We start from the raw sequence: 27,251 nt of genomic DNA, 5'->3' as shown, positions 1-27,251 counted from the left end.
TCCATTATTATCATTTTTCATTATTTTTGTCATGTCAAAAAGTATATCAATTAAACTTGGCAATTCATAACAGGTTATATAAATTACATACTATGCAAATATAAATGACAAATCTTGCCACAGAAATGATCTTGTCAACATTATGAATAAAAGTTATTACCTGCCATTGTAGGAAGTTTTATAGAGTCCTAGACAGAAATAGTTTTATATGGAGTCCTGGACAGAAATATAATCCTGCAAACTTGAATAACTTAGCTAGATTTACTTTTCTCATCCAAATATGGACTGATAAGACTAATATAGAGTTTTTTCAGCCCTTTTTGGCAAATCTCTATTTTTTTAGTGGGACCTTAATATGCTTCTCTTTCATCTCACTAACCAGATCCGCTCAGCTTGGGAAAATTTTATTTTGGAGTTTTAGTAAGATTATACAGAGGAAAAAAACATTCTAAAGAAAAATCAAAAAAAAATTTAAAAATATTCAATAGTAAATTAACTCTTTGCCTCTTTTCAACTCAAAATACCTACTATTTCTCAAAGTGTACTTCACTCAAATTAATATTAACCATGAAAATACAAAGAAGAATCAGTTTTACATAACTAAAACTTGATTATTAATATTTAAGACTTTAATGTTAATTCTCTAAAGTATGCATTTTAACTGTTGTGCCTCTTAAAATATTAGATTATTTTAAATCACTGAAAAAGAATATATCTGCATGTTTTATGACCTTCCGAATAAAAGTATGAGGTATGTCAGGCATGGTGACTCACACCTGAATCTCAGAACTTTGGGAGGCCAAGGTGAAAGGATTGCTTGAGCCCAGGAGCTTGAGACCAGCCAGGGTCTCTACAAAAAATTTAAAAATTAGCTCAGCATGGTGGCATGCGTCTATAATCCCAGCTAATCGGAAGGCTGAGATGGGAGAATCACTTGATCCCAGGAGGTAGATGCCATCATGATCGTGCCGTTGCACTCCAGCCTATGCGACAGAACAGATCCTGTCTCAAAAAAAAAAAAAAAAAAAAAAAAAAAAAGTATTTGGTAACATGTGGACATTTACTAAGCAAATGTGATAGCTTAAGATTGAGGGTAGCCACCTGTAATCCCAGCACTTTGGGAGGCCGACACAGCCAGATCACGAGGTCAGGAGTTCAAGACCAGCCTGACCAACATGGTGAAACCCCGTCTCTACTAAAAATTAAAAAACAAACAAAAAAAACGAAAGAAAAGAAAATTAGCCGGGTGTGGTGGCAGGCACCTGTAATCCCAGCTACTCGGGAGGCTGAGGCAGGAGAATCGCTTGAACCCAGGAGGAGGAGGTTGCAGTGAGCTAGATCTCAACACTGCACTCCAGCCTGGGCAACAGTGAGAGACTCCTTCTCAAAAAAAAAAAAAAAAAAAAAAAAAAAAAAAATTGAGAGTAGTCAACAAACTTCAGCTGGGAATGTATATTCTAATATAATAAAGGTTACTGTCAGTTTATATATCTTCATTTCTATTTTGTATAGCACTTCATATATAGAGATGTGAGTTGCATTTCATCTCAAAAATTCAAGCAATCTCAAACAGAACACTTAAAAGTAATATTTATATATGCAATAAAGCCCTATGTTTCTCCTGTTCTCTTTAGAATCATACATATCTAACCTCATTTGGTGGTTGTTAAAACATTGCAATCACTCTTAGTCATATCACAATATGAAAAAAAGTACTTCATTAAGATTTTTTAAAAACCTTTCATTGTCCGTTTATCTTTACAGATAATTTCTGTGAAGCCCAAAGTACTTTTTTCCTATTGTTGGTTTTATGGTTTGTATTAAAATGTAATTCAGATTTATTCCCAAATACCATTCAACTTAAAGCAGCCTTCTTCAAATGCTGCTTACACAAATGAAAGTCTAAGGACTTTTATGACAATGCAGTTTATATAAAAATATCTCATGCATATCTTGTCTCCTATCAGGGATTTCATGTACTGCTTTTTCAAAACAACCATAAACATTCAGATTGATTTATGCTATAATGGCATTCAGGAGTGTGTGTTAGAAAGAGACTCAATCATGAACTATTTGTTGAGGTTATACAGAGAGTAAAGCAAGTGAGTTATGACACTAAGTAACTTTTATATTATGGTGGCTTTCAGTTGTATATCTTTAATTCTAGACTTTCTTTTGTGGACCGTACTCGTATGTTGATGGTTACATTTATATGTAACAAATATCATAAAGCAAACATTAGTAAAATTTACTTTTTGATCCCCACCTCAAATATGTACTGCTCCATTTAAGGAAAATGATCTATTCTAGAAACCTAAAATCCTTTGTTGACACTTCTTCAACATCTCCATTCAATTAATCACTAAATCCTGAATCCTGTTAATTTTTCCCCAAATATATATAAATTCTTCTCATACCTCTAAATTCCTTCTCTTTCAGTCTAGTTCAAATGGGCATCTTTTTTTTTTTTTTTGGTCCAAAATCCTACTACTTGTCTCCTCACTTCTGTTTTTCTTTTTTTTATTATTATTTTATTTATTATTATTATTGTTTTGAGACAGAGTCTCGCTCTGTCACCCAAGCTGGAGTGCAGTGGTGCGATCTCGGCTCACTGCAAACTCTGCCTCCCGGGTTCATGCCATTCTCCTATCTCAGCCTCCCTAGTAGCTGGGACTATAGGCGCCCGCCACCACGCCCTGCTAATTTTTTGTATTTTTAGTAGAGACGGGGTTTCACCATGTTAGCCAGGATGGTCTCTATCTCCTGACTTCGTGATCCACCTGCCTCGGCCTCCCAAAGTACTGGGATTACAGGGGTGAGCCACCACACCCGGCCACTTCTGTTTTTCTTAGTTTATCATATGTATTTACAAGAAAAGCATCATAAGTAATGTTATAAAGCAATTGGTATTGTCAACCTCTTTCACCTTGTTTCTGAGGATAGAATCTAAAGCCTGCATTTTGAGGTATCCCTTATTAAATTATCTTGCTTCAGTTGACATCAGTCTCTTCCTTCAGCTCTGCTCTCTAACCACTTTGGTTTTACTTTAGTTATTTGTTATGACATCTTTCTCAAATCTGAAACTTTATGCATATTATTCTTTTTCTCAGAAAAATCTCCATCATTCTCATAACCTTCTCAATTGAAGTTTTCTTGGAAAAGTATTACTAATATTCAAATCTCTGATTAAATTTTATTTACTCAGACAGTATCTCTTTGAGCCCCAATTGTACTATAACTTTCTTTCTCATAAAACTTGTAATCATCCTTCTTTGTATATTTTAACAATGTATTTATTTATGTTTTCTTAATACGTATCCCCACCCAAAAGACTATGGAATACATGCAGCATGTGTTTTGTTTATCAATACATAATCTTTGTAGCAAGGATATGGTAGACACTCAAAAGTTTTAAAATCAGTGAGTTAATTATATAAATGTTTATGTTATGATATTTGTCCTTCAAGGACTCACAATCTATTAGAAGAAATGAAACAGGTTCATATATGATTATATTCTTAGTCCATTTTTGTTTCTTATAACAGAATACCTAAAACTGGATAATTTGCAAAAAACAAAAGGAATTGTTTACAGTTCTGGAGGCGAAGTCCACAGTGAAGAGACTGGACCTGGTCCCTCGTTTGGTAAAGACTCTCTGCAGAGTCCTAAGGTGGCACTGAGCCTGCTAGCTCAGATTTCCTTCCTCTTCCTATAAAGTCAACAGTCCCACTCCCGTGATAACCCATTAATCCATTAATGAATTAACCCATTCATCCAATCATGGCAGAGCCCTCATGACCCAATCATCTCTTAAAGGCTCCACCTCTCAACACTGCCACATTAAGTTTCAACATGAGTTTTGGAGGGGACAATCATTCATACCATAGCATATGCTAAAACAACCAATAGCCAAAGATAAACATCTCAACTGATTTTATTAAGGAAATACATTTTTTCAGATATTATCTGTTTTTCAATTAGTGTCCTTTCTCTGATGCAGAATCCAACCCACGTTGCACTTCGTTCACTGAATTTTAACGAGAAACTTTTGTGAGTGTGAAAAAAAAATGTCAATTTACAGATAGGTCAAGTCCATGTCACACAGCAGTTAAGAGGGTATCTCCACTGTCCTAGAGATGAGTGTGTGTGCACCCTCTAACTTGTGTAGTAGGACGCAAAAAATAAATGCTTCTACAAATCTATCCTTAGGAGGAAATTCCTCAAAGATCTAGACATTTTCTTAGGAAAACAACAAGTATGACTGAAGAAATTTATTTTGTAATAGCAACATTATTACTCTTTAATAATCAGTATTAGCCACCCCCAAACAACACAAAATCATTTTATATGTGCCTAATTATCCATTGACAAGCACAATCCTAAATGGCCAAGATGTAATGTCATATTTTACTGGAACTGATTTCTATTGTTTGTGATGTCCTATAATATCAATTAAGTTACAGTGAATAATCTTATTGTTTAAATCTTCTGTATTCTAATTGCCTTTCCATTGTGCTCTCTCAGTCACTGAGAGTGGTGAGTCAAAATTGCCAAATATGATAATAAATTTACATATTACTCCTTTTATCTTGAATGTTTGTTACATATTTTTAGCTTTATTGATGTATAATTGGCAAATTAAAATTTTATATATTTAAGGTGTATAATGAGATATTTTGAAATATAAACATGATGAAATGATTACCACAATCAAGCTAAATTAACATAAACCATCACCTCACATAGTTACTTTTGTGTGTGCATGTACTAAGAATAATTAAGATTACTTTTTTAGTAAATTTCAATGTACAATATATTAACTATAGTCATTATGCTGTAGATTAGGTCGCTAGAACTTATTCATCTTATAACTAAGTTGTTTTATATATTTTAGCCCATGTTATTCAGTGCATACACATTTATGCTGTGATACTTTTTTCTTGAATTTATACTTTTAATATCAAATACCTCTCCTTATTTCTAGTAATATTTTTTTCAAGTCTATTTCTTCAAATATCAGTGTTACTACACTTGTTTTCTTTAAAATTATGATTGAAAATGGCATATACTTTATTTCTTCCATATATTTACAAGCTCTTCTCTCATATTTAAGAGTATAATATATGTTATGAGCAGTCTGACTGACTTTTTCCTCTTAAGTGGACAATTACAATGCTATATTAATTAGCACTGGTTTCATCAATCACACACATACAGGTGTAATAATATTTGTTTATGCACTTTAGAATTATATCAATGGTGAACCCCAGAATGTTCAACTAATGGTAGCTAAAGAAACAGATTTATTTATCCTACTGCCAGAGAGTCAAATAGCATACCCTCAAATTCATCAGTCAATAGCTCTTTTTAGCCATTTTTTGTGTGTTGTCCTTGAGTTTCATTATACAGCCTCTTTATTCAACTTCGTATCTCATTCCTAAATTCAAAGAGTGTGAAGGGTGAGCAAAAAGGGTTTTTCTTTGGGTTGATCTTAACTTTATTGTAACCCCACCAGATTTCACTTTAAAGGTGATAACCAGGTTTCATGGCCATATCCGTTTGCAAACCATGCTTAGAAACCGAGTATCTGGGAAAGAAGCATGGGATATTCTTATCACCCTCAAAACTGTGGTTTTATTTATTGTTTTTTGTTTTCTCCAAGCAATAAGGGTATGAATGACTGATAACCAAATAATGCTGTCCTGCGTGAAGTACACAAGTAGCACTGACTTAATTTAGAAACCAATAATGTTGAGAGTAGGGGGTGAAGAATTTAATATCTATTTAAAATCTTCTATATAGGAAAGATCATCATTTTGACTACAGCTGAGGAACTATTAGAACTGGTGAAGATAAAGATGTATCCTTAAAAATCTGAGGTCTAGGTTGGTCCTTAGGATTCATTTAAATAACATAAGATTTAAAAGAATAAATTAATTTGTAGAGCAGAATACAGAAGGCTTTTAAATGATACTGTGGCTGAATGCTATCTATACATACATTGTATAAATATATTTACATATATTTATATGGAATTATGTATAATATTGTTTTACAATTATATATACATATACGTAATCTCTAGATAGATTTTATTTAATTCTAGGCATTGAAAAGAAAGAGTATTTATTTAAGCTATAATTCAAGTGAAAAATCAATGAAAATCATATTAGAGATAGACCTTGGCACACCACTGAGCTGTACTTTGAATAAATCTTTCAATTTGTTAAATATCTGTAAATATTTATAAATATCTATAAAATGGGTAATCATAACCTCTGCATTCAGAATTTTTTCTTTTTTTTTTTTTTGAGACAGAGTCTCGCTCTGTCACCCAGGCTGGAGGGCAGTGGCATGATCTCAGCTCACTGCAAGCTCTGCCTCCCGGGCTCTCGCCATTAAGAGGTTAGATTAAATGGTATTTTTAAATGGTTAGGCATATATTTAAATAATATTATTTGAAATACTGTTAATATTTTGAGAAAAGTCTTATAAATATAATGTTACAGGATCCTTGAGATGTCACTTCACCAGTAGGAAGCCTCTGTGGACAGTGTGGCACCTTTGCCTGAGTTTTGCTTGGGCCTGCTGGACTCACTCAGCCTGGTAGGCCGCATTCAGCTCACACTGCCACCCTGGATCCCATGCCACCAAAGGTGAGACAAGCAGAGAGTGGTGTGTGTGAGTGAGCATGAGGTCCAGCCACCACACACAGCCAGGCATTTTGGCTGCAGTGGGTTGGTCAGCTCCAGGTGCTAGCATAGGTGTGAGCTCCCTTCAAGACTAGCTGGACCAGGCATACCTCAAACAGCTTCCACAGCTAGCACTAGGGAATGCGGTGGTACCCAGAAGCTTGGAGATGCCAGGAACTGCCAAGCCCCAAAGAGGGTATCATAGCCCTGTCTGGGAAGCTCCTAGGTCTGGGATCCCAAAAGGGCCACAGCACTTCTCTCCTTCTCTCTTCTCTCCTTGTCTCTGGCAATGTGGTGAGCAAGAAGCTTGTTTGAACTTTGTTTGTGTTACAGCTCTTTCAGCTCCACCATGTGGTGGGTCCCCATTTCTTGTCCCACTTCCAGGAAGAATGAAGTGGGTGGACAAGTGGAGGGTGAGCAAGATGAAGAGGAGCTTTATCAAGCAATAGAACTGCTCAGAGGAGACTCACAGTGGGTAGCTCCTCTCAGCAGCCAGGGTGTCCCAATGAGTGTTCAACTCTTAGCAGAGAGGAGACCCTGTATTGGGTAGGTCCACTCTGCAGCTGGCTGTCCCATCATCTCCTCAAGTCTGGCTGAGTCTAAGGTTTTTATGGGCTTCAGAGGGATGGATGTGCATGCTGATTGGTTCATGGGTGGGCCTAGAAAAAGCACCGTAAGTTCCTATTCTGGTTAATCAGCCCATCCTCCAGGCTTCAGGTGGTATCTGGCCTGAGTGTGACTTCACCAGGGACCTGCCACTTTCCACCCAGGAGCCTGTCTGCCTCCTACCTTCATCCATGGCACCCAGGTTGTTTGTGCTGAGGGGTGCCTGTAGGCCAGCACCCAACTGCCTACAGCTCCCTCATTGGCCTCCTTCCCATGTTCATTAGGACCCAAATTCTGGAGGGTACCAAGTCAGGAGGGGGCTCTCTTGTCAGCACTGCCCTGAGTGCACATACTTGGGTGGGTTGCAACAGTGCCTAGGCTCGGCCTCAACTTTTCTCCAAGATCAAACTGAGCACTGAGAGTAAAGAGAGGCCAGGCAGCAGGAGCAGGCAGTTGTAAGCCTGTAGGGGTATCCCTGGCTCCTGAGAGCAAAGAGACTCCCAGGCCCACAGCTGCAGCAGTGCCCAGGAGCACAGGGCTCCTGCCTGCTCTCATCCCACAAGAGAACAGGGATGCCTGGGTCCAAAGCCATCGCTGGGCAACCACAGCTGTGGCCATGTAGCATGAAGTTCCCACCCTACCGACTCAGAAGGGAGCAGGGCTTCCAACTGTTCCCAGCTCCCGCTGGCTCTGTGGAGCGTTCGGCCCTGGCCACACCTCTCCCACTGCAGGAGGCATCATGGCAGCAGCTGCTCCAGATGGGCTGCCACTGCCATCAATAATGCTCATTAAATTATTTTATTGGATAATTCATTTAAAAAGTTGACATATAGACTTATAAATGAATATATGTATAGAAATACATGTATGCACATATGTGTATTTCTATATGCAAATGGGTGTCTTGAAGCTTAGTACTGAAACCAACCCACTAGTCCCATAGATAGTTTTTCTTTTTTTAAATAAACATATAAATTAACCCTTCTGGTCTTAAAGCTTGAAATTTATGTTTGTTTTAACATAGTTCTTTCCTTTAGGCCGCTCAAAAATACTAGCAAAGGCTGAAACTCAACAGATCACCGTATCCAGAAAATGAGATGCCAGACCACTCATTCATCATGATTTGTTTGCCCCTCCCTAGCTCCTGGTTTCTTACATATTGTTACATTTCTTCCCTACTATATAAACCCCTAGCTTTAGTCAGTCAGGGAGATGGATTTGAGACTGAGCTCCCCCCTTGGCTATAGCACTCAATTAAAGCCTTCTTCTCTGGCAACACTCATCATCTCAGTCATTGGGTTTCTGTGCAGTGAACAGCAGGACCCAGATCAAACCCCTGGTGTTTTGGTAACAGTATGCAACTCCAGAAAAGTTGGTTTATCCCTAATGAATCAGAAATATATCATAGCTAGAAAAATATACAGGAAAACCATTTACTGAACAATCGCTCTCTCTCTCTCTTTTAATAGATAGTTCATGGTACACCTTAATTTGTTCTTGTACATACCTAAAGTTTTGGCATATTGACTACCTGCTGTTTAACTAAACGGTATAATCTTGAAGCTTGGCTAAGTTGATACAGTACAAACCACTAGACCAGTTGAGAGCTTGTGAAACATAACACAGAAGTAAAAGTAAAAGAAGTACTGCAAGAATAATACAGTGTTAGTTTTTTTTGTCCCTCAACCAGACTTCTTATAGATAAATCAAATAGATAACTTTGAAAGTTAAGTGGGATTTTTCATTTTAGTATAGTCATATAGGCATTTGATCAAGAATTCATATTAACAAGTTGGTATTTCTGGAGGAATAGAGAACATAGTATAATATTCACGCCAATTTAAGATTATATTCTCATGATCCGTTAGCAGTTTATCCAATTAATGTATGGCTTATTAAATTATTCTCCTTCTATTCTATTCACAGAGATGATGCATGTGTCAGCAAGTGATAATTGTTGCTTATTGCTTATTTTACTAAAGTAATTTTTAAACAAATTTGCCACAACATAACCATTCATATTAAATTGAATTAAATATAGAGTGCAGTCTCTTGGGAGAGTGGATGAAACGTGCATCCAAGCTTACTCTCACGAGGAGGATTAGGCTTGGAGGGAGGCCCATCAACTTTCCTCACTTATCATAGAATTCAGAATCTAAAATTTTTAGAGTGGTTGTGTTCCAAATGCCTAGTAGAGTAAACTTGAGGACCCAGAAACAAGGTCATAGTAAGAAAAGGGAAGATAAGAGGGACAACAAACACATTTAAGCAACATTTACTGAGCACAAGAGGTGCTCCTCTCATACACACAGTTGGGATATGACACACTATCTCCTATAGTTTCTCGAACTCGAACAAAACTAAACATTTTCATTCATATTCACTTGAAAATTAGTTAGGATGAATTTTTCAGACAATGAATTTTGCATACTTTTTTGCATATCCTCAGAGAAAAAGCAAATATGGTGATAATGAAAATTTGGATAGCAAAAGATAATTTTGTAATGTTATTGGTCATCAACTATTTTAATATCTGTAAATAAAGACATATCATTATATGAAAATGCTTTCTAAATTACTGATCATATATTTAAAGAAAATAATATTTGAAGACAAATTTTACAAGATAAAAATGTTACTTTTAAATATAAAGTTTGTTAAGTTATATGTATTTAAATTAAATACAATTTTAGTGAAAAATTCCTTATCTCATTTCAGTGCCTAATACTTTGCAGTGTTACAGTGGTTGATATTTTGGAGTGTTCAAACATAAACTACAATTAAGGATTATAAAAATGTGCACATTTATCACAACATTTGTAAGGTATCAGATTATTAATACATAAATTATTTTTCTTGATTTTGTTATATTCTCTGCTTATCTTCTAGGAAGAATTTCTGCCTACTAAGTAAATTAACTTAATCACAAACATGGGCATTCACTGGAAATTTTCAAGAGAGTTGGATTGGGGAAATGCCAGTAGTTAAAATAAATGACAAGAGGGAAAATGTTAAAAGAAATCATTCTAACGTTCAACTTCTATGCCACATTATTCAACTGAAAGTGTCAGTTTAATTTTATTTAAGCTTTGATGAAAAGGCATAATGAATTGGGTAAGGACAATGAAATAGTAATATAACATCTAGAATGATAGTTGATTTATACTCCCATTTAAGATCTGCACTTGGCCTATGAAATATTTTATTTACTTTTTAATCAATGTTAAGTGAAACACTAAAACCAAAATGAAAATTTTCTCATTCACTAAAGATCTCATTTTTATATATCACAAATTGAAGAGTATTAATAATACTCATGAATACTTGTGAGACTGAGGTTTGGCTGTCACAGGCATTTTCAACCATACTTTGATATTCAGTTTTCTGATTATTTCATTGCTTTGCATAGAAAAACACTTATAAATTTTTAAGTGGACCAAATTAATATGCTTACTATATCAAAACCATGTTAAATAAAGAAATAAAAATCAAAGCCAATGTTGAATGTGCTATTTTGACATCTTAAAATAAATCCTGTGGTCTTTTCAAATAAGCCATGTTGTTTCATAACATCTTTTAAAATAACGGCATGCATGTTGAAGAGGAGGCATTTTTTCGGAGCAGCTCAGAACTATCTTTGATGTAGTTATAAGCTAAAGGGCATGATGAAGAAAAAAATATGTAGTAACTTACCCTATATAACTTCCAGGCAGGGGAGATTCAAATGATAAATTATTTAAAGGAATTAAAGAAGACACCACAGGGCTCTTATTGCTTATTAAAGGTGAACGATTTTCAAACTCAGTTATGTTACATACCAATAGATTATTTCTTCTACTTAAGCTTTATTTCACCTAAACATGACAGTTAAAAAATGTTAGAACTGTTTTTATAATATTCTGGAAAAGATAATGGTATTTCCTGATTAGTATTTTCTCCTTCATGGTATACTGAAGCATTAACTTGTAATTTTATTATTGTGATGAATTATTAAACAGCTGATACAAAGAAAGATCAACAATTAATTTCTTTCTGATATTCCATAAGGGAAATTTATTAGATTTGATATGCATGGTAAAAGGTGCTGTTTGACAGCAATATTGTCTCATTAATTGGTTCATTTATTGTATTATTGGTTCATTCTGGTTCAATATAAAATATTGTACAATATTGGTTCATGTATTGTATTATAAGACTGCTATACAGTAAATATAGTGTTTAAAGAAAAAATAGTCAGAGGCAACCGAGAATGGATCTAGCAAATGTATGCTGACCAGGCTGTGCCTTTTCTCCAGGCAGTGAATTTGGCTGTCTATAGGAAAGACTGTGGAAGTGGGAGCTGTGCTGTGCTGATAAAGGTCTAACAACCAACTCACTGAGAAAAAGACATCGCAAAAAATTTTCCAATATCTGATTTTCTTACCTTGTTTTCCTTGGTGCAAATTCTTTAGGATTTATTTGAAGCCACCTATATGATGCCCCTGACCACTGAACTGGGAAGAGATGCACAGTTAGCCCTCCCTCACAGCCATACAGGCCAGCTGCAACATACCAGTGGTTACCTTCCAGCATGATTCCAAAGGAAACAAGGATCAATAAGGCAAAGTGACTATAGGAAGATTTCCCCCTGTACAGCAAAATATTCCCAATAGAGCAGCCCTCATCCATTGACTTATGAGTATTCATATACCAAAACTTCAGTGCCTTGATTCTCTATTTAGAGATAGCTCTATGGCATATGCTCTTACTTGTGGGATAGTGTTCTGTAGAAGAATTTAGCTTCAGGTGTTCTGCGGTTACTGGCTTTGTAGTCACACTTTATCGATTTTCCTTCTAGTGAATCCTGGGATTAACTTCCACATAAACTATTTGCACTCTAAACTTTGAGTTAGTGTCTGAGATATCTCAAAATAATCCCTTTTCATTCCTATTTTATATATTTCATCATCTTAATTGTCATCTTTTCTATCAACCATGGAATGCTCACACTGGGATGATCTAGTGAGATTAAGCATGGCTGTGACACACTCTTCTAATCAGGCATTTTCACTTTAGGCCACAGCAGGGTTCAGAATTCGCTTAACCTATGAAACCTGCTCTATTGGGAAAGTGTCCTCTCTTTCAGGAGTCTCGCCATTTAGAAAATGCCAGACCTGAGGATGCTATGGATGCTTTCAAAGATCGTGTGTAAAAAGGACAAGAGGAACATCAACAACAGCAACTTCTCCCATGCACTGCCTACAACATTGGCTTGCTTTGGCTTTTGGATATTTCAGGTCTTGAGTAGCACTGGCTATGTCCTTCTCATAGCAGTTCAACAGGTTTCTTTTTTAAAATTTCATGTTCTTTTCAAGTTTCTATACATCAGGAACCTTGACAGTATTAAATTTTGTAGAATAATTCTTTGTTGTGAGAGGTTATCCTGTAATTGTAGGATGCTGAGCAACAGCCCTGGACTCCATCTGCTAGATCACAGTAGAACTCCCACTCTTAGTTGACAATCGAAAAAGTCTTTAGATATTTCCAAATGCCCTGTGGCAAGCAAAATTTTATCTGGTTGATAGTTGTTAGTCTACACCTTTCAGAAATGCTCCATTGAGTTTAATAACATTTTACTCTTCTCTAGAACATATAAATAGGGGGCTCTACTTTATCGAATTTGAGTGCATCCTGAATTTGATATTTCTTTTATAATAACAATACAATAATAACTGTTATTTTTACTACTATTTTGGGTTTGGAGCACTAATGGTTGTTTTTAGATCAAACTTAATTGTTTTTCTTCTTTACATCATTGTAAGAAAACTAAATAATTCTTAGTAAAATATATTTTTATAGTCATATTAGAATTAAGTCTCTATGGAGTTCTATTACTTCACTCAACTTCAAAAGATATTAATTTGCCTCATTTGCTTGTTCTCAATTATTGGCAAATCAAACAAGGAATGCATTTAGATAATTTGAAACTATATAAAACAATGCATATATTAAAGTATTTAAAAATATAAAATATATTTCACAGCACAATGTATGGTCTTATTGCACACTTCAACTTTTGCAGGGACATAGATGGAGCTGGAAGCCATTATCCTCAGCAAACTAACACAGGAACAGAAAACCAAACACCACATGTTCTCACTTATAGGTGGGAGCTGAACAATGAGAATACGTGGATACAGAGAGGGGAACAACACACACTGGGGTCTGTCAGTGGTGGGGATGGGGAGGGAGAGCATCAGGAAAAAAAAAATGCTTACCGGGCTTAATACCTAGGTAATGGGTTAATAGATGCAGCAAACTGCCATGGCACATATTTACCCATGTAGCAAACTTGCACATCCTGCACATGTATCCTGGAACTAAAAATAAAATAAAATAAAAGTCACACAGGTGTAAAATGCAAAAAAAAAAAAAAAGAATATACAATTGATAAACACCCTCCAACTAGAAGTTAAAACATTCACTCAAAAATAACTGTTGTCACTATTTATTGTGTGTTTATTTTTACCACATACTTTGCCAAGTTCTTGATATACATTTTTTCACTTTTTACAATTATGCCCTTTTTATAATGGAAAACCTCAATATACATAAATGCAAATGACTTACTTAAATTTGCAGTTCTACTAACTATCAAAGGGCAAACTGAGCAAGAATGACCAGCTTCCAAAATCCATGAAAGCATGACGAAAATCCTCAGTTTCTTAATTTGAAGCTATACATAAATATTAAGAGACAATTGAGGGTTACAGTTTTCATTTTCTTAAAAATGGTAACCCTTTCTGGTTTCAAATATTATAAAAATTAGGAAGCAAATGTTAGTATGTGCAGTCATGTATTAAAGGTGTAGAAAGAACACTTTTATTCATGATTAAATGCATTGTTTTATCAAAATACATTGTTTTAATATGAAGTGCTTATTAATAAAATCTGATTGCACATTTTGAAAAATCATTCACATGAAATACATGTACACACACATGCATGGGCACACACACACACACACACACACACACATATACATACACTCCTATTAAGGGTATTTAATGATTTCCATTAGAGAGTATACCTAGAAAAAGTTGACTTCATTACCAAGAATCAACTTAGGAACCTGGACTAGGCAAGAAATTAGACTGTATTACATGCATAAATGTAAATTTAAATATGAGTATTGGTGCTACAAGTTTTGGTATTTAATCAGTACCTACAAAAACTAAAAACAATTAAAATTACAAAAAGTTTTGATATTTGACTTTCTTTTCCAATCTTTTCAATCAGAATCTCTTCTTTTTAATCAGGATACTATAGTAGTTTTGAATAAATTTATATAGTAATCAAAACAATAATTTTAAGCTATTAGCCTAATTAAAACTCAGTAACTTTTAAGCTAAATTGTCACAAAATCACAAAGCAAAGTTATGCTTGAGCAAGATGGCAAATCACTACTTTTCTATGAAGGAAAATGTCAGACTATTCAGTGAACAAACACTCAATAAATAATGACAATGGTTATTTCTGAACGAATGTTTTAACTTTGCCTATGTATAACCAACAATATATCAGCAAAATTTGGAGATAACATAAATTGGAAACTCTCTGAATTATGGTCACTTTCCTAGGCTTTTAAAATGGCAGCAACTGGTCATCATGGTTTCATAAAACCCAGAAAAATCAGTAATATTAGTAACATATCTGTAACATACCATCCCTAAATACATCAAATTCTATGCTTCATGTAAGGTGAAAACCAAAAATAAAAACCGAAAGCCCCCTGCAGCCATCTGAATGGACCTCAGCCAGGGTACTCTAAAATTTAACCTGAAAGACTGGTTCAGGTCATGTCAGGAAGTGAGGGTCAGACATGCCTCATTACACCCAGACAGCATTAACATCAACACAGACCTTAAGTCTGATAAGAAACATGACAGTCTTTTCTCTCTAAAGCCTGCTAGTGGGGGCTTCATCTGCATGGCAAAACCTAAGTGCCCCCAACACCTCATTATAACCCAGACTTTTTTTTTTTGAGATGGAGTCTTGCTTTGTCACCAGGCTGGAGTGCAGTTGCACGATCTCGGCTCACTGCAACCTCCGCCTCCCGGGTTCAAGGGATTTCCCTGTTTCAGCCTCCTGAGTAGCTGGGACTACAGGCTTGTGCCACCACACCCAGCTAATTTTTTGTATTTTAGTAGAGACAGAGTTTCACCATGTTGGCCAGGATGGTCTCAATCTCCTGAACCCAGATATTTCTTTCTACTGATAATAACTCTTTCAACCAGTTGCTAATCAGAAAACGTTTAAATGTACCTATGACCTGGAAGCCATCCTCCTTCTCTCTTCCAGATCAAACCAATGTAAATGTTACATGTATTGATTGATGCATTATGTCTCCCCAAAATGTATAAAAGCAAGCTGTACCCTGACTGCCTTGGGCACATGCCATCAGGACTGTCACGGGTACATCTTTAAGACCTGTCTCAGATATTTTGAGCTCACAAGGGTTAGTTGAAAATTTTGCAGACTATAGATATGAATTACAATGATTAAAACATTCTTCTTAGAAAATAATTCTACATTATCATGAAAGTTCAAAACTGAGAACAACTATTGCTAAAAGTTCTTTTTTTTTTTTTTTTTTTTTTTAAAAAGATGGAGTCTCGCTCTGTCGCCCAGGCTGGAGTGCAGTGGCGTGATCTCGGCTCACTGCAACATTCGCCTCCCGATTCAAGCGATTCTCCTGCCTCAGCTTCCCGAGTAGCTGGGACTACAGGCACCTGCCACCACGCCTGGCTAATTTTTTGTATTTTTAGTAGAGACTGGGTTTCACCGTGTTAGCCAGGATGGTCTCGATCTCCTGACCTCGTGATCCGCCCGCCTCTGCCTCCCAAAGTGCTGGGATTACAGGCATGAGCCACCGTGCCTGGCGTGGAGGAATGAATCAATTAATGAATGAGAAGAACCCACTGTAATCGTAATAACATTAGGGGATATCTACTTCTCATTTCATGTATTTCCAAGAATCTGTTTAGAATTTTTACTTCTAAACAGAATCTGTTTACTTCTAAACAGATTCTTGGAAATATATGAAATGAGAAGTAGATATCCCCTAATGTTATTACGATTACAGTGGGGTCTTGCCATTCATTAATTGATTCATCCCTCCACAAGTTTACTCAACGTTATCTCTGATGTACCAGATGCTATTCCAGTCACTGTACTTGGAGTGATGAGCAAAACATAAAAATTCCTGTAGCCCTGACTTCATGGTGTTTACACTTTAGTGTGAAATGTTAGAAAATAAACACAATAAGTTGAATACATACCATGCTAAATTACTTAAGATTACTAAATTCCTGTAGCCCTGACTTCATGGTGTTTACATTTTAGTGTGAAATGTTAGAAAATAAACAAAATAAGTTGAATACATACCATGCTAAATTACTTAAGATTACTAAATTCCTGTAGCCCTGACTTCATGGTGTTTACATTTTAGTGTGAAACGTTAGAAAATAAACAAAATAAGTTGAATACATACCATGCTAAATTACTTAAAAGTAAAATTAGGAATTGCTGGGCCAGAAGGGGATTACAAATGTAATTAGGGTAGCCAAAGATTCATATACTGACAAAGTAACATTTGAGATAATACTTGAAAATGTTGAGGAAAGAACCAGGTGCACATAGGAGAGAAGAGATTCCAGCCAGCTGGAACAGCAAAGCATAGTGGCCTTGGATGGGCTCAGGTGAGGCAGGCTCTAGAAGCAGCAGGAGCTCTATGTTTTATCCCAGTGAGCTCAGGAGAGAACAGTACAGGAAGAGTCCTGGAGGACTGAAAGGAACCAGATTTGATAGGGCTTAGAGGCCATTCATATTCAAGAGATGCATTTACTAAGGATGATGGGAGGTACTGGAAGAGTTTTCAGCAGGGTAATGAAGAAATACCTGATTTGCCTTTCAAAGGAATATTAATCCTGCTTACTACAAAATCCAGATCTGAATTGTGTTTTGAAAGGATTATTGACAAACACTTTAGGAGTTGAGTGTGGTCTGTAATAAAAAGTCAAAGGAAGAAGCTGGGAAGGTAAATACGAAATGTATTGAAATCAGAGGTGTGAAATAATGGAAGGTGAAGGGAGGCAGTCAGACTTTGGATGTACTTTGAAGGTAGAACAAATGGGATGTGTGCGAGTTGATTGATGGGAGGCAGAAAGAGAAACAAGAATGGTGGTGGTGCCTTTTAGAGAGAAGAATCTCCTCTTTCTTAAGAGGAGCTAAATTAGGGGAGAAGAGTAGGAGTTTTGTTCCAGTCTGCAGTTTGCCTTCCCAATTTCTGCTTCCAAAATTTCCAGTGACACTGCAACAGCACTTTGGGGGTTCTCTTTCTCTGGGACATCACAAGCACTTCTGCCTTTCCTGTTTCTTTTAACGTAACAATGCAATAATTGTCTTGGTTTTGTTTTATTCTTACCTGCTCATATTTTGGCATTTATTAGCATGTGTTGTCACCTAGTGTGGCAGATTAAATATGGCTGTCACTTCTTAACATTTTTTTTTCTGTCAAAAGATGAGGTCTATGCTCTGTACCTTGAACTCGGGAGGTCCTCATGAGTGTTCAGACAAATAAACAGCAGATGGTGCAAATGACACCATACCATTCCTCAAGACACTACTAGCTTTTATTTTCTTTCTCTTGCAATGCTCATCTGTAAGCCTGGAGCTATCACATAGGAAATCTTTCTCCCTTTTGATAATATGAAGGACAGTCCTTGAGTAGGTCAACTAACTGATAGTTCAAGCTGACCTCAGTATTTCAGCCCTTCCTTTTAAGGTCACAGGTATGTAAGGGATGATGTGTTTGGCCCTTCAGATCAGACCAGCTGCCAGTCGAATATCACTAAGAGACCTCAGTCAATGCAACATACAGTGGAATTACTAACTTGAGCCCTCCCCAAATTTTTGACCTGTGAAGTTGTGAGGGATAATACAAAGTGTGTTTTAAGGCATTTATATGTAAGGTGATTTGTTTTGCAGCAATATATAACTGAAACAGACCTAGTTGTTTGTTCGTTTGTTGCAAATGTTGTCCGTGTAGTTTTTTTTAATTATTATTCCAGTTGCTTTGTCCGGGAAGATTAAACATTTCCATCTATATTGCCACCATCTTCTCAGAATTCCTGCAATTCACTCTTATCCTGTCCTATACAACATTGCTTTCTAACAAGAAAATCATTTTGCAGCTATGTGAAATGCAGAAATTTCAGTTGTTACCCCAAGAACATAATCAATTATTTAAGTTAGAGAGCAACATTTGGCATGGCTTTTCTCAAAGCCAGAATACATGAAATTAAAATCTAAGTGGGAATGCCTTATGTTATTATACGTAACAGTACCTTCATTTAAATCTTTCCCTAATATTTTGAATTTTAGTGGTTTTGATATTTTAATTCCAAAGAAAGATTTATTTCAAAGCTCACAATGATTCTTTACGGTTATAATGTAATATTTGACCATTTTGATACTGAGCCAACAGGAAATTAAGGGATTCCTGTAAACCCTGGTATAATTAAATGTGTTTATCAGGAGAAATGCACATAAAGAATCTGTCTGGAACTCAGGGCATCCTCTTGAGGGATCTTTAGTACTCTTAGGATTACAGTAACCTTATAAATCTAATAGCAACAATGTCTCATATCCTGCAAAACTAAAATTTGAATTGCCCCATTATGTAAGTAACAATTTACTGATGTACTTGCTGAGAATAATACAACATAATGGAAGAGAAAAGTGATAAAGATCAAATATGGCCATTTATATAAAAATAGTCAATTCTATGTAAATTTCCTTTCATATTTGTAATAAACTTAAACATATAATCAAATTTTTCTTTCCCATTTTAAAATGATTTTATATAAAGAGTGCAGTACAGATACCTGTTTGCCCAGAAAATTGCTAGTTACTGCTTGTTATCCAGGAGTAGTTATTATATCCTTTCACTCTCAAAAGCGTTCAAAGACAAATTACACAATCGCGCCGTATATATCAACGATTGTGATCATTTCTGTAATTTCCCTTTATGTTACAGAATATGCAGGTTATATGAGGAACGAACTAGAAGAGGAGGGGTATTTAACATAACCAGAAATGAACACAGGGTCTCTTGAGGTATTTTGTCTCAACTTTGGAGGGCAAGTTAAGTGTGTCCTTGTTTTTTCACAAAGACAGTTGCTTCCTGTTACGTAGATGCATAATGTTTTTGCTCTTCTGGTACAGAAGTTTATTTATGCATAGAAGGGTACATTTAAATGTGGTTAAATACTAAATATCCAGAGGCTATTTTGGAAAGTGTATATTTCTCCACTTCTAAACCTCATACTTACTTTTTTCTAGCATGCTATGCGCCCCACAGTGGTAAGCCTGAAGATCACATTTCTCAGGTTCTCTCTTCAACTGACTTACCTTCAGATTGAGAGATCTGACTCCCAATCTGAGAGAAAATGACTTTTCCTACTCTTTTTTATATATTTTTTCTGACTTGTAGTGGCCCTTCAGAAATGTGTGGTGGCAGTCCTGGAGAGAGAATTTGAGCTTCTGACTTGGGCATCTGCGTTCCAATAGTTCCTAGCTTCAGAGATGTAGTAATAACCATCACCAGGCCCCTCACGTTTCTCCATTAGCTTTGCCAAAAAAGATAAGTAAATTTTCTTCTATCCTCGTGACAGGGAGTAGTTTAACAGCTTGGAGCAAGCCACCCCTGCTGAAATTAGGCTTCTCTTCTCCCACAGAGGCTGGGAGGTAGGGGCTCTATCTTCCCTGATGATTACATTTCCAAGAGATGGATCCCAGGTCCTTGAGAAAGACATTCCTGGGTTTGGAACTGGTTAGAGGCTTTTAAAAAAGATTTACATCTCAAATGGGCAGAGAAAGGATTTACTAGTACAAGCTTTCTAAAGTTAATGCTCTAAAAAAAATAAATAAAAATAAAAAAGAGAAGTTCAGTGGCTTATACTCTGGAAGAAACCTGTTTAACTTTGGTGACACTGGATAATACTATGGCTTTCTTGTTTCCTAGTTTCTCATTGAACACAGAAGAAAGCTTATCATTATTTCCCAATTAAGTAGGAAGAGAAGGCAATGTAGGATTAAGACATATGACAGATCTTGTTACATATCTTCAGGAGAAAGGAGAGTGAATTTCCTAAGGCAATGCACAAATTCTGGGCCCTAAGCGGTCTGCATATGTTGTGAAGTAACTGACCAGTGAGGAGTGACAGCCAAGTGTCTCTGCTGTCCTTTGTGCCTCTCCAGCCATGTTCAGCACTGAGGGCACAAGCATGAGACAGGCATATAGTTGAATTCAACCAGAGATACAATGTAGCAATACACAAGGTAGGACAGGGAAGTTGGTATTGGTAGGGGAATAATTATAAGATTAACCACATAATCAATGTTATATAAAGGAATATGAGACTGTGATACATTAAATAGGTGATAAAACTAATGGCTTATGAGTCCTAGTATCATTGAAGGAAAGTTAAATTGGGATAATAGAAGCAATAAGGTGGAAACTGAGAAGTTGGCATGAAAAAGGGAGATAATATTTAGATAATTGAAGGATTTCCGTATTATTAATGACAAGGCTAAGGTATGACCATAGAAGTGAGCAGCTGAAATCGGAAGTAGGAGAAGGTTGTATTTGACTATTCAATTTCATTTAATACAGTTGGATTTTTCTCTTCTAAATCAACGTTTCATTTGCATAGCAGCAGAACACATTCTCCTTTGTTATTCTCCAGATTATAACTACCCTTTTAGTCTTCTTTTCCATTTTCTCCCCATCTTTTTACCCTCACAGGACCTTCTCTAATGATTCTTCTCTTCTTTATCTATACTCACTTTGTAAGTTGTCTAATCGAGTCTCAGAATTTTCAGTATCACCTAACTGCTAATGATTTCAAAATGTATAGACCAGACCAACCAGATGTTTTTCCTGAATTCCAGTTCCATAAAAATAACTTACTTGACATCCCTTGAACATTTTATAAAATTATTAAACAATCCTCTATGAAGTATTTTCATTCTATCTCTAGTAGACATGAAAAAGTATTTTTCTCTATGAAAGATGACATCATGATTATACATATCCTGTTCTTCCCAGTTCCTAAATTGTTCTTCTTGCATTATTTTTATATATAAAGACTTGACATCTCATCTCTTTATTTAATAGGGCCTTAGATTCATTCAAAACACTTCTCTTTTTTACATATCCCATGTTCAGCCCATTAGCAAATTCTTTTACCCAGCCCTCAAAATATAACAAGAATTTTGATCACTTCTGATTTCCACTACTACTACTGGTAGACGTAAGAGCCATTTAAATATTCCAAGATATTGAAAGGGAGGAAAGTATCCATAAGAAAAAATATGATGCTACTAAGAGTGGTTTCTCCTAGTGAGCAAAGTATATTGTATTTTAGCAAGCCTCAGAATTAAGGTATTATCGTCACCTGAAGATATGAGCTCTCAAAGCACTCTGATTACATATGAAAATAAAGCTGATATATTTGAAAGTAAAGGAAAAAATAAATCAAAATATTCCTAAATTTACCTCAGATTTTTAAAACATAACTATGCAAAATCTGGATAAGATTATTGCAATAGTCTTTGTCATATTTCTGCTGGAAATATTTAAGTTAGTTACATATCTTTTCCATCAGAAGAAATTTAAAAATTTCAGGCCAATTATATTTAAATGTATTATGCAATATATTACTCTGGAGGATTAAGAAGAAAAAATCGTCTGTATTATTTAAAACAGATAATTTTAAATACTGTAGAAAAGATGTATTTGCAAATGTAGTGATGATTGTATAATTGAAATTATCTAGTTATTAAATTTAACTCAATTTAACTTAAAATTTAAGTACAAGACAGGTGTGGAGGCACATGCCTGTAGTCCCATCCACTTGGGAGGCTGAGGTGGGAGGAATGCTTGAGCCCAGGAGTCTGAGGCTGAAATGAGCTATGATTGTGGCACTGTACTCCAGCCTGAGCAACAGAGCAAAGACCCCATGTCTAAAAAAAAAAAAAAAAAAAAGGTGATAAAGAAAATTGAAGTACAGCTTTCTAAGCAAAATTGTATAGAACTTAGAGTACTCATAGCAATTTAGGTAGATGATACATATTTTAAAAATATTTTTAGATTCTGTTCTTTTCATTTTATTGGATATACTAATTTTAATATTTCAAAATAATTGTTTTCATTGAAAAATGCATTTTCTACAAATGAACTGAAAATCAAATCAGAGTAAGTAATCTTTGACTTTGCTTTACAAAATTAAAACTCAAAATCCACAGAGTTGAAAGAAACCAGAAACAAACAGGTTTCTAGTCTTCTGTTTCAATGAATTAAAATAACAAAAATTGTATTTGCAAATGTCCTACAGAGAAATTTAGAACCCTTCCTGTCTATAGCTGTGAGTTAGCAATGTTTTTAGCATCATAGTTTTATTGATATCAATAATATGCAAAAATTTTATGTCACATCTCTAAAACCTATCAATATTCATTAGGTAATTTAATCACAGTTAATATTATTTTTGTTCTTTACAGAGGAGGAACATGAAGCTTCAATCATTAAATAGCTTTTCTAAGGTGATAATAAATCTTTTTTGATTCCTGATTCCTTAAGCAATTTTCACAAAATTCTAATGAATGTACGATTTACTAAACTACACTTTATCAAAAGTCATCATTAAGTAACTATCATCTTTTATGGAAGGCAAAGAATTGGTACTGGGTTTGAAAAAAAAAGTAAATAAAATAAATTTCCACTTTTGATCAGCTCATAGTCAAGAAGGGCTACAAGATACATAAACGCCCTATTTTTATAATATGTAGTTACTGGTATTTGATTTAATCATGGATTTTACTATAATGAAATTTGTTTAGTAGTTTATTATAATATTATTTATGTTTGTGTAATGTGGGACTAATGTATGTAGTAAGGGCAATATGAGTAATTGGGACTTCATAATTCACTGTAGAAAAATTAATACCTAAAAAAGGAGATTTGATTGAAATTCATAATTATAGAAGAAGCATTTGCATTTTTACTTGTCTACACAGGATATGTAATGGAAGAAATATGCCATCGTAAGTGGCCAACTTAAACGGATATATTCGCTTGAGATAACAGAATGCACAGAGAAAAACTTAGACAACCTTTTGCAGAACTATACCAGCTTAAAATTTAAATTTACCTTTTAATGTGCATAGGTATGTCTGTGCATGATTATGGGTGTATGTGCACATGTATGTTTTAGATGTGCATATATTATCTGTATTGGGAGTAGGTAATTATATTTTACATTCCTTTTCCAAAAAAAAAAAAAACTACCAGGATTTTGACAAAAGTATAACTAAACCTTTTTGATATCTAATTATAATACTATACCAGTATACTCACAGAGAAATGGATATTTGCACTTTAACCAGGTTTTAGTTTTTAAGGTTTTGAGAAAAAGGAAAAAAATAAAAACGCAATGTAAATGGCCTTTCAATATTATCATGAAGTTGTTTGGATAGTATATATGTTTCTCTGTAGTTACTAAATGTTTTTAAACATTGCAGAGCAGGGAAGATTTACATAGACTTTTAAATTAAAACCTATGACTGATTATCAAGTTGTTTTAAGAAATTGCATAGAATTCAGCATCAGACAGTTTCTCTATGATCAAACTAGAAGACAATCAAGGATTACTGAATACTGGATAAAGTCAAACCCATTCAGATGAATAATAAAAACATGATGCTGCAGAAGTGGAGAATGGACTGGAGAGATACATATTTTAATTTGAAGAGAGGGAGAGAGGGAGAGAGGGAGAGAGGGGGAGAGAGAGAGAGAGAGGATGAAACCTCCCTATGTTCCCAAAGCTACATACTTATCTCTATGTATTGAATGAAAAATATTTATAATGTAAGACATGACCTTCAGAACGATCCTTTGTGGGATGGAGTGCTCAATGAAGACAGCCACATTATGTTGATTCCTTATAAACTCCAGACCTTTCTGTCCCAATTGTCCTCTTGACAAAGCTGTGTCAAATGTTTTGGCTTATGATTTTCAGTACTAATGCATAAATTTGGTTTATTTATTCAGTCAGCATGTACAAAACACATCTATGTGATATTCAGTGAAGATTAAAGTTTGGTAAAACATGCCAATACTCAAAGAATGTATTCTCTACTGAAGGAAGGAGGCAGTGAATTAAACACTAAATTTTGGTTTTACATTTTTTTAAGAATTAAATTAAAATGTTAACAATTTAACAAAATGCAAGGATTTTAATAGATTTTGAAAAAAATGAATTTCTATTTATATACAGGGAGAGGGGGCATTCAAGATAGGGGAAATACCAAATTTATAAAGTTAGTAAAAAGTTGTAAGACCGTGTTTGCAGTGACCCTCAAGTCTTGTTAGATCATGGTGGTTTCGGAGACAGACTGCTCCCAGACTTTCTATCCCATAGAATTGTTGAGATTCTTAAATGTACTAATATCTGCAAAGTTCTTAGAAGACAGTTTGGCTCAAATAACAATTCAGTACATGTTAGTATATATGGTCAGATTATAGAACATGTACTGAAGTAAAATTAAAGGTTCTTCTGCAAATTTAGACAGGAACCAGATCATGAATTACTTAAACACTAAAGTAGGTATTTTGGAATTTATAGGACATTACTGATTATGTTAAAGATATATCCTGATTCTTATTTTACAAGCACTATTTTTATAGTAGTGAGAAAACAGATCACAAGGAAATGAAATAAAGAAAAAATACATAAAGCTGTATGCTATAAATTAGAAGAACTGAATAAATTTAAGAGTTAGTCAACATGAAAAATAGAAATTCTGGGACTTATTTAAGAGATGGGCATAACTTGGAGATTGAGGATATGCATAGTGTAAGAGGATGGAGTTTAATTGTAGATATATGTTAAGGCTAATTATAGTGATCTCCAAACCACCCTCAAATATCTATCTGTAGTATGATTTTAAGAGATTGGTCTTAAATATATTTCTTAGGAATCTGTTTACTACACAAAATACAAATTAAAATAACATCTACTATCATAGAGAAGAGTGTAACTTTATATTAAGAAATTTAATCAAGTTTTCTAGATAATCAAATAATATATTAACAAAAAGGTAATTAAATTTTCAAAAGAGACACATAGAAGGAATTTGTCATTGTGATTTCTCCATTACTGAAGGATGGATGTTTCAAGTAATTTAAATAAACTTTCCAGCCCATTTTTTGAAAGGTGTAAATGTACATGTCAGGGTTTCTTACTGCATGTCCATACATATTTATAAATACAATTATTTTATGTAATTTATTTTTTTTCCATGTGTTCCAGTTTACATTGGATTATATTCTACACAGACATAGGCATTGTGTATGAGATCATACCTTTTCCCATAAACTTAAAGAAATCACTCTTGAAATTGTATCCATTTTCTTCTGGGTCTTTTGTATTTTCCTGTGCTTATCAGGTTTGCTGCGATAACAAAAATCTCAATCTCAGTAACTTCTTCAAAAGATTTGCTTCTTATGCCCCGTCTGCAGCGGCAGCTGTGCTCTTCCCACTGTGGTTGAGTCTGCTTAGCTTTGCTTGGATCTCATCCACGTGCCTTCTCATTTTGAGATCAGAGATGAAGGTGAAGTCTTTCTGTGGGACATATCCGATCTTGTGGTGAGGAGGAGTCAAATGGAGTCACACAGCATGCACACTTTTGACTGGCTTGTTTTTGCTCAACAAAGTGTTTTGAGGTGGACATATCATGTGCGTATCAACATTTTATTCATTTATATGCATGAGAAGTATTACACTTTACAAAATATATCCAAATTTGTTTTTCTATTTACCTGTTAATTGACATGTGAGCTGTTTCCAAATTTTTGTATTTAGGAATACAATTACTACGAATATTCATTTGAAACAATTTGTATAAACTAAATTTTAATTTCTCTTGGGCAAATACCTGGAAGTGAAACCAGCATTAACTTCTTTTTTTTTTTTTTTTTTTTTTTTTGAGATGGAGTCTCGCTCTGTCACCAGGCTGGAGTGCAGTGGCGTGATCTAGGCTCACTGCAAGCTCCGCCTCGCAGGTTCACGCCATTCTCCTGCCTCCGCCTCCCGAGTAGCTGGGACTACAGGCGCCTGCCACCTCGCCAGGCTCATTTTTTGTATTTTTAGTAGAAACGGGGTTTCACTGTGTTAGCCAGGATGGTCTCGATCTGCTGACCTCATGGATCTGCCCACCTCGACCTCCCAAAGTGCTGGGATTACAGGCGTGAGCCACCACGCCCAGCTGCATTAACTTCATTTTTAAAAATTGCCAAATTGCTTGTCAACGTAGTTGAAATATTTTTCCCACCAGCCATATAAAATTGGTTGCTCCACATCCTTGGCAACTCTTGATATTTTTATTATTTACTTATAGTCATTATAAGGAGTATGCATTAGTATCCAGTAGCAGTTTAAATTTGCATTTATCTGATGACTAATGGGATTATGTATTTGTTAGCCATTCATAAACATTCTTTAGTGAAATGTCTGCTCAAATAGTTTGTCCATTTTGCTTTTATGTCTTATTTGTAATAATTTGTGTTTGATTTAAATAGTTCTGTATATAGTCTATATACCCGTTTTTAACAGATACATGGAATATAAAATAACTTCCCAATTTGTGTATTATCTTTTTATTCTCTTAATGATGCCTATAGGGTGAAGACAATATATTGATTCATTTATTGTATCTTTATTTGTTCCTGCTTTAGCTCTTCTATTTAAGAAATCTTTACTTTCTCCCCAAATTATAGAAATTTTCTTCTATATTGTTTTCTAGGACTTTTATGTATAAGTTTGAATGGTTAAGTCTATGATCCACTTT

At 35.0% G+C, this 27,251-nt stretch overlaps 1 long non-coding RNA gene across 1 annotated transcript in view; it reads right to left on the bottom strand.

Annotated features, from left to right (window-relative positions):
• LINC01194 (long intergenic non-protein coding RNA 1194) overlaps positions 1-27,251 on the bottom strand; it is a 230,327-nt gene that overhangs the window by 80,329 nt on the left and 122,747 nt on the right. The window contains exon 3 of the long non-coding RNA NR_033383.1: positions 13,556-13,657. This is a non-coding gene — a long non-coding RNA (long intergenic non-protein coding RNA 1194). The remainder of the gene's footprint in view (positions 1-13,555; positions 13,658-27,251) is intronic.

This window comes from Homo sapiens, chromosome 5 (assembly GCF_000001405.40).
Source record: "Homo sapiens chromosome 5, GRCh38.p14 Primary Assembly".
NCBI lineage: Eukaryota > Metazoa > Chordata > Mammalia > Primates > Hominidae > Homo > Homo sapiens.
This window is presented reverse-complemented; position numbering and strand designations above follow the sequence as displayed.